The following is a 22041-nucleotide window of genomic DNA, read 5'->3' as shown; positions in this document are numbered from 1 at the left end:
GTTCAAGACCAGCCTGGCCAACATGGTGACACCCCGTCTCTACTAAAAATACAAAAAAAAATTAGCTGGGCATGGTGGCACATGCCTGTAATCCCAGTTACTCAAGAGGCTGAAGCAGGAAAATCGCTTGAAACCAGGAGGTGGAGGTTGCAGTGAGCTGAGATCGCTCGCGCCATTGCACTCCAGTCTGGGTGACAGAGCGAGACTCTGTCTCAAAAAAAAGGGAGGGGAATTTGCAGTCAACACCTACAGTAGAAGTGCATTCAAGAGGATCCACCGGACAATCTGCCCGTTCACTCATTCATTCACCCCTTGACTCATTCATCCAGCAAGGTCACTGCCAGGCCCTAGGGCAGAACTCTCCCAAGACCCATGGGGTCCTGCCTCAAGGAACTTGCAGCCCAGGGTGGGAAGCAGCTCACAAAGGACGAAATAAAAATAACTGGACTTGATCAGACTAGCCCCAGGAAAGGAAATCTATGGAGCGATGGGGCAGGCAGCAGTGAAGGGGCCAGGATTCCTCCCACGACAGGAGGGAGCCCAGGGCTTCTCGGAGGGAGAGTTAAACCGAGACCTGGAGTTCTAGAAAGGTCCCACCGTGGCAAAGACCTGAAGCGGATGCTGGAGGCTCCACCCAGGCTCCTACTCAGGACCCAGGCTGTCCTTGCTGTCATCCTGCCGAGAGGCTGGGCCCCCAACCCATAGTCAGTCCTCCTAGTTACAAACAGCCGTGTTTGAAGATTTTGTTAACCGAGAGAAACAAGGAGCTGGAGGATGAACACATGGGTTGTATGTGGGGCTGGGGTCGGATTCCACAAATCCCTGGCAGAGAAAAGGGTGCCCCAGGGGAAAGGGGCCACTGTCCAGGCTACCTCCAAGGTGGGGTGAGGGTGCTTTGCTGGCCAACAGCAGGCTGATTGGTTCTCAGCACACAGCATCTTCCTGCATCCTCCAGCACTGGGAGCCTCCATCTTCCAGACAAGAGCCCCCGGGGCACCCAGAACTGTCTCCATGGCTCCAGGCAGGGTAGAGACAGGCTCCTCTCCACCATCTTAGAGAAAGCCTCTTTGGGGCCACATACCCAGCCTGTTCCCAGAAAATGCCAGGGCCCCTGCAGCTCTGAGGTACAGCCAGCCTGGCCTGGCCAGGCCAGGATGGATGGAGGCAGCGGCCCCCTCTCCCCAGGCACCCCCTCACCCCTGGCACCTCCCCCTCCCCCGGCACCCTTTCTCCCCGACTCAGGGCCTCAAGGGCCCCTCTGCTGCTGTCTCCCATGAGTTTTCTCTCTCCTTGTCTCCAGACTTCCCTCTGCTTCTCCGTGGCCACCCACGGATGGCAGCCTCAGTACACCCACCAGCAGGGACTGCCTGGCCTCTGGGCCCTGGTCCAAGTGCCCAAGAGACCAGCAGGTTGGCCTAGGTGGGATGAGATGCCCAGCCCTGGTCCAAACAGCTCAGACCAGGGATTGAGTCCCATGGAACACACCTGGGTGACTGGATCCCCCAGGGAAACAGGGATGGTTTCCTGAGGGCTCCTGGGGGCATCTCAAGCATGGTCCCTGTGGCCACAATTCCCTAAGTGTGTTTCTAAGGTTTAACAGTGAATGCCCTGCCTGAAAAGGAGCGGACGCCCTGTCCCTGGAGAAGCGTCCGTGCTATAGAACGGCCTGGGTGGAATTGGATCTGAGCAGCTCTCACCCAGAGATGCCTTCCCCTTGTTCTCACTGGGTCCCACCTCGGGGCACCAGGGAAAGGAGCCATGGCAGTGGAGGGAGCAGTACTCGCTGTTGACTCCGGGAAACCCTCTCCGCACACCAGCAGGGTGGCATCTCCTGCCCAGCTTCCTGAAACCTGAGGCCCCCTAGAAAGCCAAGTCCTGAGACACAGCGTGGAGAGGCCGGGCCACTCACATCTGGGCAGGAGCACCACCCCGCACCCTGCAGGCCCAGGTACAAACCCTCAGCCACAAACAGAGACCCTGTCTTGCGCATGTGGCCAAATGCAGGCATCCAGGCCACATGTGTGTGCCTGAATGTGTGGCACAGGCCTGCCCAGGAGCACAGCCAGGCACACACATGGACAGTGTCCTGGGGTAGCTTCTTCCGCCGGCCCCCCATTCCTGGGCCAGCGGGGCTCTTCTCTCTGGAGAGAATTTCCCTATTCTCAAGGTAGGAAGACTCCTTCCTTCTCCAGCGCCAGCAGGAGCAGATGGGACAGACGGGGGATGTGGCCGGACAAGCATGGACTGTGCCATCTTTGAGGGGACAACCCCTCTGGGCCTGTTCCCTCCTCTGCCCCTGGCAACACCAGCTCCCAGAGCTAAGAGCAGGATGGAGGCCAGGGCATGCCTTGGAGTGGGGGGTCCCACTTCCCCCTTCCCTTGCTGGGGAGCAGCACTAGCCACCCCAGGGAAGGCTGCTGGGCCAGGCCAAGGGCAGGGGTCAGAGTGCTCCAGGTCAGGAGCCCCCCTGAAGATCCCAGCTTTCCAAAGCCCAGGCTCCAGAATCTCCCATGTCGCTGGCTGCAACATAAAATAGGTCATTGGCATAATCCTGGCCAAATTGGCCTCTTGCAGATCAGCCAGGCCACGCTCCCCAGGCCTAATTATCCCATATTTGGTCAATAAGCCATTAACACAGCGCCATGGATGTTAATAACCGTTTCATGAAAAAGTCGGTGTAATTTATGAGATCAACACTAGTTAACAAAATTAATAAATATTTCATTCGGGGAGATTTATCCCGATGTGCTCTCAGCAGGTGGACCAAGAGCCCTTGGGCAGCCCTGGGGAGCCGGCGGTTGGGAGAGAGGAAGTCCTGGCTCTCACTTGGGCCAATAAACATTTACCTCAAATCCTATCGCCATAAATCCACGGGCTGGACGAGGGAGTCCAGTAAAACCTGACTTAACATTATGTTCGGGCCATTAACAATATTTATATCGATGTCACTTCGGGGAGGGTTAGAGTCGCCAGGCAGGGCCCAGCGGCCATGACGGGAGCAAGCTGGGATCCTGTAGGAAGATGCATGCCCAGGGAGGCCCAGGGCATCGGGAAGAGTCCCAGAGTGGCTCTCAGACCCCTTGGGATTAGTGGTTCCCAGTTATGTGACCCAGGATGAGTTTCTCCACTGCCCAGAGCCACAGTCTCCTCATCTGTAAATCGGGAATATTAAAAATAACCATCCGGGCTGGGCGTGGTGGCTCACGCCTATAATTCTAACACTTTGGGAGGCTGAGGCAGGTGGATCATTTGAGGTCAGAAGTTCGAGACCAGTCTGGACAACATGGTGAAGCCCGGTCTCTACTAAAAATACAAAAATTAGCCGGGCATGGTGGCACACGCCTGTAATCCCACCTACTCGGGAGTCTGAGGCAGGAGAATCGCTTGAACCCAGGAGGTGGAGATTGCAGTGAGCTGAGATCGCACCATTGCACTCCAGACAGAGCAAGACTCCATCTCAAAAAAATAAAAATAAAAATAAAATAAATAACCATCCAGTGGGCTGCTGGGCAGATTAAGTCTCACGACACAAAGTAATCCCCAGGCACCAAGGGAGGACTCAGTCCATGGAAACGGCTGTAAGAACCATTATCCACAGAGAGAGCCAGGGGATGCAGCCCTCTGCCCAGACGAGAACCCTGGGAAGTGCACTCTGCCTCCTCCATTGGCAGCCTGTCGTCCACTGGGTGTTGTGCACACGTGACCTACCATCCCACAACAGTCCTGCAGGGTGAACACTCCTGAGAGCCCCATTTTCCGAAAGTGGAAACCAGGGCTCAGAAGGATGATGTGACTTGCCCAGGGGCAGCCAGAAGGAAGTGGTGGACCTGGACTTGAACCCAGGTCTGTGACTCCAAGCCTCCCCCTTCTCCCGCTCTGTCCCCCAGCCTGGGAGAGCCCTGGCCGGGGTTGGGTCCCTGCTGGGCCGGCCTCTGTTCCTCTCTGCCCTCCTGGCAACCACCTGGAGCCCTGGGCAAACGGACCTGTGCCCGGGGGAATGCCAGAGCCTGTTGTGGTTAAGGAAGTTTCCAGAATAACTAATCTGTTTTCTGTGGGGAACTTTCCACCAGGCATTGATTTTCACTCTCCCTGCCTGGGGTCGATTTGATTTGTGAGGAGAAGCTCTATCAAGAGGCAGAAGCAATTGTGTGAGATAAAAGTCCCTAGTATGACAGGCTCATCCACTGCTGAGGCCCAGGCTGGTGCTGCGGGGTGGGCGAGCGGGCAGTGGGATGGGCGGGGGGAGAAGGAAGGGGATGGGGGCTCTCTGCGTCTATCTCCTTTGTGACCTTGGCACAGAGTCACCCCTCCAAGCATGTGGCTTTGAGGCAGCAGCACCACCTAGAACACCAAAGACCGGGCTTCTGCTGCTCCTCCTGGAGGCAGGCGGGCTGGTGAAGTTTCTCCCTTACCTGCAAGGCTTCATTAAGCTGCACACTCCGCATGGGGCCCAGAGAAGTGAGATGCCCCGGGGGAGGCTGCACCCTGTCATTCTTAAGCATCCTGACCCCCATTCATTTCTCTTCACTGAGCCCCTGCCCTGACCTCACATTATCCTTTTAACAAACCTGGAAAGAAGGCCCGGGGCCTGGCTCATAGAGAATGCTCAATAAATGTTGGTGAAGGTATCATAATCCACATTTTACAGACCAAGAAACTGAGGCTCCTAAGGGTTGAGTGACTGCTTTGAAAGAGACAGAGCCAGGACTCAAATCCAGATCTGCCCCCGCTCCTTTATCCCGGAGCTGATGGGTGCTGGGATCAGTCAGGGGCTAAAAGGGAAAACGGGGACTACCAAGGGTCTCATACTCACCTGGGCCCTGAACTTGGGGTGGTGGATGCAGAGGAAAGAAATCATGAAGACTTTGTCTCCCTGCTTTTTCAGAATCATTCATCATTCATTCCTTCATTTAGGTATTCAACAACTTCATTCAATAGACAAATCTGGCTGGGTGTGGTGGCTTACGCCTATAATCCCAGCACTTTGAGAAGCCAAGGTGGGCGGATCACCTGAGGTCAGGAGTTTGACACCAGCCTGACCAACATGGTGAAACTTCGTCTCTACTAAAAAAAAAAAAAAAAAAAAAAAAAAAAAAAAACACCACCACCAACAACAACGAAAAATAACTTACCTGGGCATGGCGGTGGGCACCTGTAGCCCAGCTACTCAGGAGGCTGAGGCATAAGAAACACTGGAACCTGAAGGGCAGAGGTTTCAGTGAGCCAAGATCAGGCCATTGCACTCCAGCCTAGATGACAGAGTGAGACAACATCTCAAAAAAAAAAAAAAAAAAAGCAAATCTTTATGGTGTCCCCGCTGTGTGCCAGGAACTCCTCCAGGCGCTGGGGACACAGTGGTCAACAAAGCTGACATTCTCGTGGCAGAGACAGACTTTAAACAAAACAGATAAAAATGTGGCGCGTGCCAGATGGTGATGCCGTGGAGATGGGGGAGGGAGCTGCAGGGGTGGGGATGTTTAACAGGGAGTCGTGTGGGAGTGTGAGAGCCTGGGGGCAGCTCTGGGCAGAGGGATCTGCAAGCACAAAGATGAGGTGGCCAGTGTGGTCTCAGAGGGGACAGGGAGGTCAGAGAGGGACCAGAGACGCAGAGGGCATTGCAGGGTGTGACGGAGGGGCGGGACCTGGCTCGGGCCTTGGAGAGGAGCCCCCTGGCAGCTGGGTGCAGAATGGTGAATGGGTGAAGGCCACCTGGGTAGACGAACTTGGGAAGCTTTTGCGACAATCCTGGCTTGATCCAGGGTGGATCAAGAGGGAGGAGGTGAGAAGAGGTTTATTTCGGATGTGGAGTTTGAGAACAGCGAAGCACAGGATGAAGGCCCAGGCCCTCTGGCCCAAGGGCTGAGCACCTACTTAGCACCAGGTCTGGGAGACACCAGGAACAAGTGGTGGGACCACCCCAGGCTGCCGCCCTCTCGGTGCCTGTAAGTTAGTGGGAGGTGGTGGGGCAAGACCCCAAACAAACAACCACGAAAGGAGGTGCAAGGAAAGGCTCGGGGACAGAGGGTGGCGGGCTCTGTCGAGAAGGTCAGCTTCATTCCCTGCTGTGTCGCCAGCCCCCAGAAGAGTTCCCCCAGCTGATCCTGCCATGTGGCATGTCTACCAGGGTGCCCGCCCTGCTCCGCGACCATCCCTAGTCCCAGGATCCCAGAGGGTGATCAACTGAAGCGGGGATGGGTCAGGGTGGTTGCAGAGAGGGCAGCCACAGGGTGGGTTATGTTGCCTGGAGCGTTGGGGTTGGAGCTCTGGAAGGCCACATGGAGGGTAGGCCAGGCGGTAGGAAACGAACCCTGAGGGGCAGGCAGCTAAGGAGTCCTGCCTTTGTCCCACAGGCACGAGCAGCCATGGAAAGCTTTGGAGCCAGGGAGTGAAGGTTAGGCCAGCATTTCCTAGAGATCCCACTGGCAGCTGTGGGGGGACTGAGGGCTAGGCCCGCATGGGTGTTGCCGGTGGAGGGCATTTCAGGAGGCCTCGGCTGACAACGGTGGTGCATGACCCAGCGGGGCAGCCTGGCACCTATGGATTGCAACGTGGCCCTTGACTTTCCACTCCCACCTGCTTCCCAGGGGCCCCCGGACATCCCTGCTCCAGCCTCTAGCCTCCTGACCAGGCCGTGCCAGCTCCCAGGGACCCCTCTGAGTATCAGCCCACCAAGGTTTTTCCTGTGGTGACTGAGAGTTGTTGGCAGCCAAGGCAGAGAGAGCTGCAGGGTCTCCAAACCCATGTGCAAGGGGCTGAGGGTCACTTCCAACTCAGTGGGTGGGGTGGGGCATCTGGAGAGAGACTGCACCACTGGGGCCCCCAAGGATGCTCCCAGGATGTGCTGGGCATCCACGGGAGAGCCGCTGTCCCTCTCTGGGCCCAGGCTTAGGCTGTTCTGCTGCACAGCAAGGGAGTTGGAGAAAACATGAGCAAGGACTATGTTTTGAGCACTCACTGATGCGGGGGGCTCTGACTGCTTCATCTCATTGCCTCCCCTCCCAATCCTGAGGGGCGGAGAGGAATCCCACCCCCGCTCCTCAGGGGAGAAAGTACAGGGCAAGACAAACAGGCCCCACCCGAGGCCACACAGCAGAAGGTGGCAGAGCCAGGATGGAAACTGGGTTTGGGGGCTCCAGGGGCTGCCACACACCCTGCGCTGGGCCACCCCGGGAGGTGCAGGCAGATAGGACTCTGCTCCAGGCCCCAGACAGCACAGGGCTGACTGCAGGGCCCTTCTGTCTGTCCCTCCTGACCTGGAATCACAGCCTGGTGACTCTGAGCAGGTGAGGTCACCCCTCTGCCCTCTAGGGTGCCCCTGGGCTGGTGAACACCCATCAGGATGGGGCACGGAACGGTCACTGAACAGGGGCCCTCCCTGCCCTCAGCCCGGATCTGCACAGTCCTGGGCGGTCCCTGAGCACCCCCTCCCGGACTTGGCACCCCATGGTGCAGCGAGGGGGCCACCTTTCAGGGGATGCAGTCCTGAGGGGAAGCCTTGCTCTGCTTCTCTCCCACTGTGTGGCTTTGGACCGGTGACTGCCCCATTCTGAGCCTCAGTTTCCTCTCTGTAAGATGGACTTTCAACTGTTCAACTGTTCATTGACTAAGTGCCTGCCATGGGTAGTTTGAGAAGCTTTCAACACAGCAACGAGCAGAACAGACAAGGCTCCCAGCCCTCCCTGAGCAGACCTTCTAGCAGAGGAGAGAGAGACCCCACATGAACATAGGAGGTGTCAGACAAGCCATGCGGGGACAGGAGGGACAGGAGAGCAGGACGCCGGGGCAGCTACAGGATTGAACAAGGTGCCCGGGCAGGCCTCCTCTGAGAGGTGAGACTCCTGCAAAGACTTGAAGCAGTGGGGGAGGGAGCCACATGGCTACCTGGGGAAGAGTGTTCCAGACAGAGGGCAAGCCCGTGCAAAGGCCCTGAGGCCAGACGTGCCCCAGCAGGGGTTCAAGGAGCAGGAAGAGGACCCATGTGCCTGGAGAGGCTGGCTAGGGAGACCAGGACAGAGAGGTGGGGGTGGGCAGGGCACCCCGGACTTTGGGCCTGTAAAGAAATGAGAAGCAGGGAGGAATCTGTGAACGAATGCACATCAGGCGTTACATAGCCTGCACATGGTAAGTGCTTAATTAATAGGAGTTATGATCACTGCTACTTATAATTAGGTGATTTCTGACCTGTTTTCGGGGAGTGTGAGGGGTGTCTTAGGGTCTCCGCCTATGGGCAGGAGCTGTATTTGAGCAACCCAGCCTATCCCCCATGGGAATGGGGGTCTGCAGCCCTATCTCAGCCTCTCCAGAATTTTCCAGGGCCACACAGGGCCTCGGGAAGTTTGGGGAGTGACGAGGCGGAGCCACTGTCAAAATGGCATTAAATCAGACCCCCAGCTCTGGAAGAAATCGCACCAAGAAGTTGTTAATACCTTTATTATGGGCTGAAATGTATTCACGATATTAAAAGACATCCCATTTCTGCCCCCTGTGTCACATCTGAGATGTAGCGTAGATAAATGATATATCACCGCACGAGATCTACCGAAACCATTAGTAACCATGACATTTTGACGTCAGATTTTTTAAAATTCCTAAGTAATCTTTTTGATTTATGAAATGCTGTCTGGGTTCATCGAGAGAGATCTCAGATTTATCACCGCCTGGTTAGAATTATTAATGATTTTCAATTTGTAAATCTGAAGTCGAGAAAGTCTGTGGGCTCAGGGTGAAAACTCCCACCGTCGAAGGCCCAGCCTCTCCTCCAGCCTGAGTTCCAGCACAGAGAGATGGTCCTCAGCCCCAACATTCTGTACACTTGACATTGTCTCCCAGCAAATTCTCTTTGTCTGCAGCATGCAAGACTGTGGGGGGATCAGCTGCAGGACCTGCCCTGGGTAGAGGTGTCAGCCCCACTCAAATAGGGGATGTCCACTCCTTCCCCCCGACACAGAGCCCTGCAAAGCTGCCCCAGGAGATTTGGGCAGAGGCAGTCAGTAGCAGACAGCCCTGCCCTTGAGCCTGGTTCAGGCTTCAACGCAGCTGTAGCCTCTCACACCACTGAAAAGCCTAGAGCAGCCTGCCCTTGCCCACGGCAGCAGCCACAGAGCCCACACTGTTTGCAGAGCCCCACACTGCCACTTCTCCATCTCATCCCTGTACCTGCCTCTCAGCCTTACTGCTGTCCCCTTCAAACCTTCCATCTGCCTCCCTGTTCTGGAAGCCACCCCAGCCTGGGCAGGGGGCAGGGAGCAACACTGCTGGACCCCCAGGCCTGAGTCTGACTCCACTGGGGTCCTGCACAGACCCAAAGGGTCTCATGACTCTAGCTTGTGCCCTAGGCCACCTCAAGCTGTGTCAGAATCCCCCAGGGGAGATTTCAAACCTGCCAATGCCCAGGCTGCCCCCCAACCAACTGAATCAGAATTGCCAGAAGGGGCTGGGCACCGTGGCTCACGCCTGTAATCCTAGCATTTTGAGAGGCTGAGGTGGGTGGATCCCCTGAGGTCAGGAATTTGAGACCAGCCTGACCAACATGGTGAAACCCCATCTCTACTAAAAATCCAAAAATCAGCCGGGCACCGTGGTGCACGCCTGTAATCCCAGCTACTTGGGTGGCTGAGGCAGGAGAATCGCTTAAACCCAGGAGGCAGATGTTGCAGTGAGCCGAGATGGCGCCACTTCACTCCAGCCTGGGTGATAAAAGTGAAACTCTGTCTCAAAAAAAAAAAATTGCCAGAAGGTTCCAGTGTGCAGCCAAGGCCGAGACCCAAACCCCTATATCACCACCATCCCATTCCTCCCTCCCTGTAGCCACCGCCTAACTTATACCTCACCCTTTCTGTCCGGGACCAAGAAAGTCACTCAGTCTCAAGTCTGACCCACTCTGGCCCATCCAACTTATGACAGTCCGAGCCCACCTGACCATGGCACTCTCCTGCCTACACATTCGATGGCTCCCAAGGCCCTCAGGGGGAAGGCGATCTTCCTGCCCTGCTCCCACCGAGGCAGGAGAGGGCCACAGGTAGCATGATGCCCTGCGGGGAGCCACCTGCAGGACAGAGCCAGACCCAGAATCCTCCTCCCGGCCCGATCCACGGGAACCCCACCAGCCAGCTTCCCTGACCAGAGTGAGGGCTTAGTTCCAGGGCCGCCCTCCTACCTGGGCAGAAGGAAGGCCCATGGCAGGGGTCCCTGGGGAGTGAGTTTCACCTGCCACTCACCACTCAACAGGGTGATGGGACTCTGCTCACTCACGCCTGCACCTCAGGTGTGGGTGACATCATTGTTCCCATTTCACAGATAAGGAAGCTGAGGCTCAGAGGGGCACACGTCTGGCCTGAGGTCACACAGCTGGGCAGCAGAGGAGCCCGGGGACATCTCTGGCTCCAGATACCATGCTAAGGGCTCAGACTGTGGCCTCACACCAGAGGCGGGTGCAGCCTCCTGGGCTCCCAGCAGCTAGGCATGGAGAACACAGACGGCAGGAGCCATCCAGGCTCGGGGACCTGCCGGTGGAAGACGGAGCAGGGAAGCTGTGGGAGGCAGAATGTCTTTCGGCAGCAATAGAAAACCAACACAGGCCTGGGTACCTGGAAGCAGGGCGCCGCTGTAGCAAATGCCTAAAAGTGTGCAAGCGGCCTCGGAATTGACCAGTGAACAGAGGCTAAAAAAATCTGGAGACGCATGATAGAAAAGGCCTAGGTTGCCTGGAACAGGCTTTGGGTAGAAATGTAGCTGTTAAGTAGACGCTCCTCGCTCTCCTCAACCTCAACCCTCACTGGCAGAGGAGGATGGGGGTCAGGGGCCAGGCAGAGGAGGGAGGTGTGGAGGTCTCAGTAGTGGAGAAGTTTCAGGGGTGAGTGCAGAGATGGACAACACCTGGAGAACTGAGACTGCTAAGGATCCGGTTTGAACGGGAGTTCACATGGGCACTGGAGTATTTATTACATTGTGATGGGGGAGCCACAATGAGAGACCGACAGTGAACCAGGGGCCTGAAAAAAATCAGTGATGATGATGGTGGAGATGGTGATGATGCTGATAGCGATTCTACTGCTGCTGATGGCTATAAAGATAACGAGGGTAAGGATGGTGATGGTGATGGTGATGGTTGTGGTGGTGATTGTGGTTACAGTGATAATTATAATGATGGTGATGATGATTAAGATGATAGTGAAGCTAGTGAGGATGGTGATGATGATGATAGTAGTGAGAATAATGATAGTGATGGTGATGACGGTGATGGTGGTGGTGATGGTGATGGTGATGGTGGTGGTGATAGTGATGGTGGTAGTGAGGATAATGATGATGATAATAGTAGTGAGGATAATGATGATAGTGATGGTGGTAGTGGTGATGATGGTGATGGTGGTGGTGGTGATGGTGGTGGTGGCAGTGGTATGAGTGGTAGTGGTGGTGATGATGGTGGTGATGTTGGTGGTGGTGGTAGCAATGTGGTGATGGTGGTGATGATGATGGTGATAAGGTAACCTGCTTGAAAGTACCCAACTCAGTACACCAAAAAAGGTGAATTGTTCCCTCTTCATGACAACCAGAAGTTTTGATTCTAAGCCCAGACTGCAGGGGCCTTGTCTCACCTCCCTGGGGAAGTCAATACCTTCTTGGCATTTCCAGAGCTACCCTGAGCCCCACCTCCTCCCTACTCTTTGTTGGAGCATCAGGCCAAACAAGGGATGAAGCAGGAACTTCCTCTGGGGAGGAGAGAGAGTTTGGAGCTCAGCTCAAGACTAGCTGGAGCCTGAGGGAGGGAAGTGCTCTGGGGAAGCAGGAGCTGCTCCCAGGTTCCTGGACATCTGTGGTGATGGAACCTTGAGTCTCTGCCTTGAGCGCTGCAGAGAGGGCCCTGTAGTAGGCTCTGGAGCCAGTGGAGGGGCTTCCCAGTGGGAGGCATGTCCAGGACCCGTGGTAGAACAGCCTGACCTGATGACAGGGTGCAGGCTTGGGGACAGTGTCATGCCACACAGCAGCAGGCCAGAGAACCAAGGAGACCTGTGCCTGGAGCATCACACCCACCTGGGACTCTGGAGGGAAGGAGGGAGGCCCTGAATCCCTGGGAAGTGGATGTCCAGGGACCAGGCCCAGATTCCTTTTTTTTTTTTTTTTTGGGTTGGAGTTTCGCTCTGTCACCCAGGCGGGAGTGCAGTGGCGCGATCTCAACTCACTGCAACTTCCGCCTCCCTGGTTCAATTGATTCTCCTGCCTCAGCCTCCCAAGTAGCTGGGATTACAGGTGCCCGCCACCATGTCTGGCTAATTTTTTGAGACAGGGTTTCACCATGTTGCCCAGGCTGGTCTCGAACTCCTGAGCTCAGACAATCCGCCTGCCTCAGCCTCCCAAAGTGCTGGGATTACAAGCGTGAGCCACCGCGCCCAGCCCAGACTCCATTTAATTTAGAATAGTAAAAGACACACACACCACGTAACATGACCACACGCAGACAAGACATGTCTCACACAGTGGGCCACCCCCTTGCATTCACACCTGCACAACATTGTGTCACAGGCCCACATGACACTGCTCAGAAACACACAGAAGTCCACAGTGCACACAGGGACATGCATGTGACACGTAACATAGTGTGCTCACAGGCCTAATGATGACCTTCTGAGACTCATTCCCCACAGTGGCAGGGGCCAGGTATTGTCAGGGTGCCAGACATCTGTGCTGCTTCTGTGGCCGCCAGGGTTAAGGAGGCAATATTGTGGGAGTCCTTATTTATTGTTATACATCGCCGAGTGCTTTGAAACTCTCATTTTTTTATAATGCACAAATTAAGCAACTGTTTGGAGTTGAGCAGACGCCAGGGGACCAGACAGATGCAGTGGGAGGGGAGAAGCCTGCTAAGCATGGTGGGGACTGGGGGCTCAGGGGCAGCCTGTGGCCTCCCGAATAGCAGTTGGCTCATCTGTTCATTTGGACAATAAACGTGGGTTAAACAGCTCCTGGTGGTGCTTCCCCAAAGGAGGTTCCTGGCTTGGGTGCCCCAGACACCCTGACTCAGTAGTGCTCATTAATAAGCACCTACCGTATATAAGAGGGTGAGTTTCATGATGTGTAAGCAAGACCTTGTTCAGTCCTCACTCAGCCCTAGGAGGGATGAACCCATTTTACAGAGAGGGAAGCTGAGGCTCCGAGAGAGGACACATGCCCAGATTACTGCAGTGGAGGCTGGACTCCAGAGGCCAAGCCCCTCCCATTCATTCACCACCACCGTCACCCGGCTTGACACACCTGTCTCAGACTGCAGTGATGTGAGGGGCAGCCTGGCTTCCTGGGATGGGCCCCACAAGCTTGCAATAGAATTGCCCCTTTACACAGCCAGTGTTTTCTGAGCCCTGGACCACCCACTCTAGGCATTGTGTAGGTGAAGCCGGGAAACTCCAGGCTGAGCTTGAACACTTGCCTCAGACCAGTCCATGACACTGACCCTGGATACAGTCACACACATCTTAGAGTTCCAAAGACCCTGGCTCCCTTGGTCCTCATCCCCGTGGGAGGAGGGCAGGTTCGGCATCCTTGGCCCCTGCCATAACTGAGGCTCAGAGATGTGATAGTGTGTGGTCAAGCTCACAAGCGTGGAGTCAGCACAGCAGGACTGATCCTGGCTCTGGGCACTTAGGCAAGAAGCTCCCTTCTCTGAGCACGGTTTTCCCATTTGTAAAATAGGGCAACTAAATCTGAAGAAGATGATATTCAACAAGGGCTTAGCCTAGGACCTGGTCACAAGAAATCATCATGGGTCACTAGTGGCTGCTATTCCTCTTCTTATTATCATCATAGAAAATTTCCCAGAATCTTCCTGCAAATCAGCATCAAGAGAGATATTCTCATCCCACTCAGGTTGAGGCCAAGAAAGACCCAGCAATTGATGTTTGATAATTTGGGCAAAATGTGCTCCAGTGATGTAGAAGTGCTCTGAACTGAGCCCACGAGGACAGTGTGGGGCTCACAGCTCTAACAGCTTTGCCTCCACCCATACTCTGCCATGCTGAACAGCCAGGGTGTGGAAAAACACACAATACAGACTGGAACAGCCTTTTAGGGGAGATTTGGGTTTTTCAAAAATTTTAATGCATACACCCTCTGTATTAGTCCATTTTCATATTGCTATAAAGAACTGCCCAAGACTGGGTAATTTATAAGGGAAGAGGTTTAATTGACTCACAGTTCCACATGACTAAGGAGCCCTCAGGAAACTTACAATCATGGCAGATGGTGAAAGGGAAGTAAGCACCTTCTTCACAAGGCGGCGGAAGAGAGTGTGTGTGAAGGAGGAATCGTCAAACACTTGTAAAACCATCAGGTCTCGTGAGCACTCACTCACTATCATGAAAACAGCATGAGGGAAACTGCCCCCGTGATTCAATCACCTCCCACTGGGTCCCTCCCTTGACAAATGGGGATTATGGGGAATACAATTCAAGATGAGATTTGGGTGGGGATGCAGCCAAACCCCATCACCCCCTTGACTGAGCAACTCCATTTTTACAAATTTGTCCTCTAGAAATGTTCAGATGTGTCCTCAGTGATTGATGTTCAAGATATTTATGAAGCACTGTGGGCCAGAGCGATAAGCTGTCAACATAAGTGTCCACCAGTGGGAGAATAGTGACATGAGGACACATGTCTACCACAGAGCACCATAAAGTCAATACCAAAGACTGCAGTAAGTACCTGGGTAGAAATGTGAAAAGACAGCCGGGAGTGATGGCTCGTGCCTGTAATCCCAGCACTTTGGGAGGCCGAGGTGGGCACATTGCCTAAGGTCAGGAGTTCAAGACCAGTCTGGCCAACATGGTGAAACCCCATCTCTACTAAAAATACAAAAAAATTAGCCAGGCGTGGTAGTGTGTGCCTGTAATCCCAGCTACTCGGGAGGCTGAGGCAGGGGAATTGCTTGAACCAGGGAGGTGGAGGTTGCAGTGAGCCAAGATCGCGTCACTGCACTCCAGCCTGGGAAATAGAGCAAGACTCCATCTCAAAAAAAAAAAAAAAAAAGGGACATTCAGGATGTATTTCTTAAAAAAAAAAGGAAGGTTGAAAACTGTATAAAATAGTGACATATATATGTATGTGTGTGTGTGTGTGTCATATATATAATTGTGTATGTGTAATGGGAGGTAAGAAAGATAGGAGGGACTTCAAGTTTCTGGTCCAGCATGTAAGAAGTGTAGAAGTTGACACTCTATCCTTACAACAGGTAAAATGCTGAACACACTGAAAAATCAACAACTCTTCTTAGATTTGCCAGAGAAGTAAGGTCACAAAACAAACAGCTGTCCCAAAATTAAAGAGACAGACAGGGCAGATTCAGAGAATCACAACTTACTGGAGCAGAAAACCATGAGCAGAAACATCCGCAAGAACCAGCACCAGGGTAGGAAAACCTTAAATGTAAGAAATAACTTACTAGGAGGTCAAGATGGACAAGTCTGAGAGTTGAAAACTCCAGGGGACCCAATCATGAGAGGCACACACATTTTTGTGAGTTTTTCCTCTAGAGCTGTACAAGATTCTCACAGTAAATATTGGAGAAGAATCCCCTCATGCTTCCAGTGAGGGAGGGGGAAACAACCCATTTTAAAATACACCAGATCATTCTTTTCTTCTTCCTTTTTTTTTCTTTCTTCTTAGATGGAGTCTTCCTTTGTCACCTAGGCTGGAGTGCAGTGGCATGATCTCAGCTCACTGCAACCTCCACTTCCTGGGTTCAAGCAATTCTCCTGCCTCTGCCTCCCGAGTAGCTGGGATTACAGGCACCTGCCACCATGCCTGGATAATTTTTGTATTTTTAGTAGAGACGGGGTTTCACCATGTTGGCTAGGCTGTTCTTGAACACCTGACCTCATGATCCACTGGCCTCGACCTCCCAAAGTGCTGGGATTACAGGCGTGAGCCACCATGCCCGGCCCATTTTTTTTCTTCTTAACAAGGACCGCTTGATATGGTTTGGCTGTGTCCTCAACCAAATCTCATCTTGAACTGTAGTTCCCACAATCCCCACATGTCATAGGAGGGACGTGGTGGGAGGTAATTAAATTAAGGGGGAAGTTCCCCCATGCTATCCTCATGACAGTGAGAAAGGAAACATCACTACAGATCCCATGGACACTAAAAGAATAGAGAAATATTATGAACAAGTCTATGCACACAAATGTAACCTAGATGAAATGGGCCAATTTCCTGAAAAATGAAATCTGCCAAAATTCACACAAGAAGAAATAGACATCGGAATAGGTCTATATCTATTAAAGAAATTGAATCAACAATTAATAACCTTCCAAAACAGAAAGCAGATGGAAAATGTTACCAAACATTTAAGAAGGAAATTATACCAACTCTCTACAATCTTTTCCAGAAGATAGAAGTACAGTGACTATATTCTAACTTATCCTATGAGGCCAGTATTATCCTAATATCAAAACCAAAGTCATTACAAGAAAAGATAACTACAGAAAATATTTCTCATGAATGTAAATGCAGACATCTTCAAAAAATACTAGCAAATTGGAATCAACAATGTATAAAAAGAATTATGCACTACCACCAAGTGGGAATTTTCCCAGGTATGCAAGGTTTGTTCAACATTTGGAAATCAATTAATGTAATCTATTACATCAACAGACTAAAGAAAAATCATGTGATCACATCAGTAGGTGCAGAAAAAGCACCTAACAAAGTCCAACACCCATTCACTATTAAGGCAAAACAAAACAGAACACCTCTCAGTAAACAGGAATTGAGGGGAGCTTCATCAGTTTGATACAGAATATCTACAAAAAACCTACAACTAACATCATCATCATACTTAGTGATGAGAACTAGAAGCTCGCCCACTAAGATCAGAAACAAAAGAAAGATATCTTCTCTCACCACTGCTTTTCAATATTGTACTGGCAATTCTAGCTAATGCAATAAGACAAGAAAAGGAAATAAAACATATTGAGATTGGGAAGGAAGAAATAAAACTGTCATTGCAGATAACATAATTATCTAGGTAGAAAAACTGAGTGAATTAAAAAAACTAAAGGAACTAACAAGTGATTGCAGCAAGGCTGCAGTATACAAGATTAATATTTAAAAGCCAACTGTTAATGAGAACACATGAACACAGGAAGGGGAACCTCATACACTGGGGCCTGTTGTGGGGTGGGGGTAGTGGGGAGGGATAGCATTAGGAGATATACCTAATGTTAAATGACGAGTTAATGGGTGCAGCACACCAACATGGCACATGTATACATATGTAACAAACCTGCACGTTGTGCACATGTACCCTAAAACTTAAAGTATAATAATAAATAAATAAATAAATAAGAATATTTTAAAAATAAATAAATAAATAAAAGCCAACTGTTTCCCTATATATTGGCAATGAACAAGTGGAATTTAAAATAAAAAACACATTACCATTTACATTAGCACTCAAAACTACTTAGGTATAAATATAACAAAATGTGTACAAGAGCTATATAAGGAAAACTGCAAAACTCTGACAAAAGATAACAAAGTAGAGTAAAATACATGGAGAGATAGTTCATGTTCATGGATAGGAAGAGTCAATATTGTCTAGATGTCAATTCTTCTCAACTTGATTTATATATTCAACACAACCCAGTCAAAATCCCAGCAAGTTATTTTGTAGACATAGACAAAATGATTCTAAAATTTATATGGAGAGGTAAAAGACCCAGAATAGTTGGTTCATGTTGAAGGAGAAGAACAAAGTCAGACTGACACTACCCAACTTCAAGACTTACTGCAAAGCTAAGGTAATTAAGATAGTATGGTATTGGTGAAAGAATAGAAAAATAGATCAGTGGAACAGAATAGAGAAACCAGAAACAGACCCACATAAGTATCGTAAGCTGACAGAAGAGCAAAGGTTATGAAACAAAGATAGTCTTTTCAAAAATAGTGCTGGAATAACTGGTCATCCATATACAAAAATATGATGTAGGCACAAAGCTTACCCCCTTTTCAAAAATTAACTCAAAATCAATTATAGACTCTATAAAGTATACAGTGCAAAACTTATTAAACTCTTAGAAAAAAATAAGAGAAAACGTAAATGACCTTGAGTATGGTGATGAATTTTTAGATTCAACCCCAAAGGCACAATCCATGAAATAGAGAATTCATAAGCTGGACTTTATTAAAATTTAAAACTTCTGGTCTCCAAAAGACAATGTCAAGAGAATGAGAAGACAAGCCATAGACTCAGAAAAAATATTTGCAAAAGACACATCTGATAAAAGACTGTTATCCAGAATATACAAAGAATTAAAATTCATCAAGAAGAAAACAAACAACCCAATTTAAAAATGGGCAAGGCTGGTCATGGTGGCTCACTTCCTGTAATTCCAGCACTTTGGGAGGCTGAGGCAGGTGGATCCCTTGAACTCAGGAGTTTGAGACAAGCCTGGGAAAAATGGTGAAACATTGTCTCTACAAAAAAATACAGAAATTAGCCAGGCGTGGTGGTGCACACTTGTAGTCCCAAGCTACTCAGGAGGCTGAGGTGGGAGGATGGCTTGAGTCTGGGAGGCAGAGGTTGCAGTAAGCCAAGATTGGGCCACTGCACTCCAGCCTGGATGACAGAGAGAGACTCTGTCTTAAAAAAAAATAAAATAAATGGCAAAAGAGTTGGACGCTTTACCAAAGAAGATGTACAGATGGCAAATAAGCAAATGAAAAGAACATCATACGTCACTAGATAACTGAAAATTAAAACAACAATGCAATACCACAACACACCTGCTAGAATGGCCAGAATCTCAAACACTGACAATGCCAGATGCTGGAGAGGATGTGGAGCAACAGGAACTCATATTCATTGTTGGAGGGAATGCAAAATGCTACAGTGACTTTGGAAGATAGTTTGGCAGTTTTTAAAAAAACTAAACATATTCTTACCATACAATCCAGCAGTTATACTCTTCTGTATTTTCCCACATGAACTAAAAACTTAGGTCCACAAAAAAACCTCACACAAATGTGTACAGTAGCTTTATTTATAATTGCCAAAACTTGGAAGGCACTAAGATGTCTTTCAGTAGGTGAGTAAATAAACTGTGACACATCCAGACAATGGAATGTTACTCAGCAATAAAAAGGAATGTGCCAGCAAGCCATGAAAAGACATGGAGGGAACTTACATGCATTTTGCTAAGTGAAATAAGCCAGTCTGAAAAGGCTGCATACTATCTGATTCCAACTATATAACATGCTAGAAAAGGCAAAGCTAAGGAGACAATAAAAGGATCAGTGGTTGACAGGGGTTAGGGGGAGGGAAAGATAAAAGGCAGCGTGCAGAGGATTTTTAGGGCATTGGAACCATTCTGTATGATACTACGATGGTGGATACATGTCATTGTACATTTGTCAAAATTCATAGAATGTACACCACCAAAGCAAACCCTAATGTAATCTCCAGATTTTGGATGATACTGACATGTCGACATAGTTTCATTGATTGTAACAGAAGTACCTCTGTTGTGGGGGATGTTGTGGAGGTTGTGTGTTAGGGGGGACAGGGGTGTGTAGGAACTCTGCACTTTCCACTCAGTACTGCTTTAAAAAATCAAGTTTATTAATTAATAACAAAAAAGAACAGAAGGAAGGGAGGGAGGGAGAGAGGGAGGAAGGAAGGGAGGAATAAAGGAGAGAGAGGAAAGAAGGGAGGGAGGGAGGAAGAAAGGAGAGACAGAAAGGAGGGAAGGAGAGGGAGGAAGGAGAAGAAGGGAGGGAAAAAGAAAGGAAGGGAGGGAAGAAGGAGACAGGGAGTGGGGAAGCAGAAGGGGAGAGTTGTCTGACTTCATAGTCCAAGAGAGAGGATCTTGCTTCTCAGAGAGTGGTGCCACACTTTGGATGGGACTTCATGTTGAGAAAGGCCAGACCCCTGGACATGGCCCAAACAGAGAAAGTTTAGACAAAGAGAAATTTGGAGTTTTATTATGGAGGGGCCTGGTACCAGGGTGTAAGGAGCCTGAGGATTTTGATGGAGAAAATTATAAAATTTTATTGTAAGACATTTTAAAAGATCTAAATAAATGAAGATAGATGTCTTGTTCATGGATTAAAAGACTCAATATTTTGAAGATGTCAATTCCCCTCCCTTCATCTATTTATTCAATGTGATCTCAATTAAAATTCCAACGATTTTTAAAAATGAAACTTGACAAGCTAATTCTAAAATTTCTACAGAAACGCAAAGGGCTAAGAATGGCCAATGTATTCTTAAAGAACAAAGTGAGAGAGCTTGCTGTATCAGGTATCAAGACTAATTATAAAACTCTGAGAGTGAAGCCAGTGTTACCACACTGGCTCAGAGATAGACACACAGTTCAACAGCCAGGACAGCCCAGGAGCAGATCAACACATGGAGACACTTGACGCATGATGGAGATGCTACTGCAGACCAGTGGGGCAAAGATGAACTTTCCAATAAATTGTGTGGGACAATCAGACCCCTACCTCAAACCATATGCAAAAAGGAGTAACTATAAAGGAACTTAAAAATTGTTTATTTTATTTTATTTTATTTTATTTTTGAGATGGCATCTTGCTCTGTTGCCCAGGCTGGAGTGCGGCAGCGTGATCTCAGCTCACTGCAACCTCTTCCTCCAGGGTTCAAGTGATTCTCCTGCCTCAGCCTCCCGAATAGATGGGATTACAGGCATGTGCTACCATACCTGGCTAATTTTTGCATTTTTAGTAGAGCCAGGGTTTCACCATGTTGACCAAGCTGGTCTCGAACCCCTGACCTCAGGCAATCCACCAGCCTCGGCCTCCCAAAGTGCTGGGATTACAGGCATGAGCCACCACAGCCAGCCAAAATTGCTTTCTTTAAAATTAAGTACTGAACTGTTCATTAAAACATCCTAGACATTGGCTGGGAACGGTGGCTCAACACCTGTAATCCCAGTGCTTTGGGAGGCCAAGGCAGGCAGATCACTTGAAACCAGGAGTTTGAGACCAGCCTGGCCAACATGGCAAAAACCCGTCTCTACTAAAAATACAAAAATTAGCTGGGCGTGGTGGTGTATGCCTGTAATCCCAGCTACTCAGGAGGCTGAGGCATGAGAATCACTTGAACCCGGGAGGCGGAGGTTGCAGTGAGCCGAGATCACACCACTGCACTCCAGCCTGGGCGACACAGATCGAGACTCTGTCTCAAACAAACAAACAAATAAATAAATAAATTTTTACAAATCGATAAGAAAAAGACAAAAGATGTAAGAAAAAATGGGTAAATGGCTCCAACATGCACTTAAAAGAAGAGAAAATGCAAATAATGAATAAACATGTGAAAAGATGCTCAACCTCTTTAATAATCATACAAATTCAAATTACAATCACATTGATATATCATTATCTAACCACCAGGTGGGAAGAAAATTGAAAATACCTCCTCCAGTGTCCCCCACCCAGGCCATGCCGTTCCCCTGCAGAAGTGTAAACTGGTACAACCACTTTGGAAAACAATTTGGTGTCCCTTAGTAAGGCTGAAGAGGGGTGCCTACACAAGGCCAGCAATTCCACTCTAGAGAAACGCTTGCATGTGTGTGTGTGACGGGGGGAGCAGGGCAGCACTATTCCTGGGGGCGCTGGTGACTTTCCTGGGCCTCTACTGTCCCCAGGCCATGTCCAAGTCCCCTTCCCCAAGACTCCTGCAAACCCCTGCCTCCCCACATAACTTGGGACAACACAACCCCACTGGCCTATTTTGCACACTGTCTTTCTGGGCCTGGCCTATTTAGAGACAGCATGGACCCCAGACCTAGACCCAAAGGCAAGCTACTTACTGACTCTGAGACCTTGTGTGCGAATCTTTACCCTCTCAAGCCTCTGCTGCCTCCACTGTAAAATGGGTTCATGACAGCACATGTCTCATAGGGAGTTTGGAAGGCAGCAGTAAGTTGGGATCAGCAGGGGCTGCGCAGGGTGTGAGCTGTCGGTGCGAAGGGTACTCCACAGATGGAAGTTCCTCCCTGTCCTCAGGACACACCCCTCTCTCCTGAC

The 22041-nt window shown here is 50.2% G+C and overlaps 2 annotated features.

Moving 5' to 3' along the window:
- Positions 6817 to 7622: an enhancer, noted in NCBI's record as "H3K4me1 hESC enhancer chr9:128751196-128752001 (GRCh37/hg19 assembly coordinates)". NCBI's record gives its function as "activates a minimal SCP1, AML or CMV promoter by ChIP-STARR-seq in naive H9 embryonic stem cells {active_cell/tissue: H9 hESC(naive)}" and the evidence as "EXISTENCE:reporter gene assay evidence [ECO:0000049][PMID:30033119]".
- Positions 7623 to 8429: an enhancer, noted in NCBI's record as "H3K4me1 hESC enhancer chr9:128750389-128751195 (GRCh37/hg19 assembly coordinates)". NCBI's record gives its function as "activates a minimal SCP1, AML or CMV promoter by ChIP-STARR-seq in primed H9 embryonic stem cells {active_cell/tissue: H9 hESC(primed)}" and the evidence as "EXISTENCE:reporter gene assay evidence [ECO:0000049][PMID:30033119]".

This window comes from Homo sapiens, chromosome 9 (genome assembly GCF_000001405.40).
Source record: "Homo sapiens chromosome 9, GRCh38.p14 Primary Assembly".
NCBI classification, from domain to species: Eukaryota; Metazoa; Chordata; class Mammalia; order Primates; family Hominidae; genus Homo; species Homo sapiens.
The sequence above is the reverse complement of the archived record's forward strand: the minus strand, read 5'-3'. Positions and strand labels throughout refer to the sequence as shown.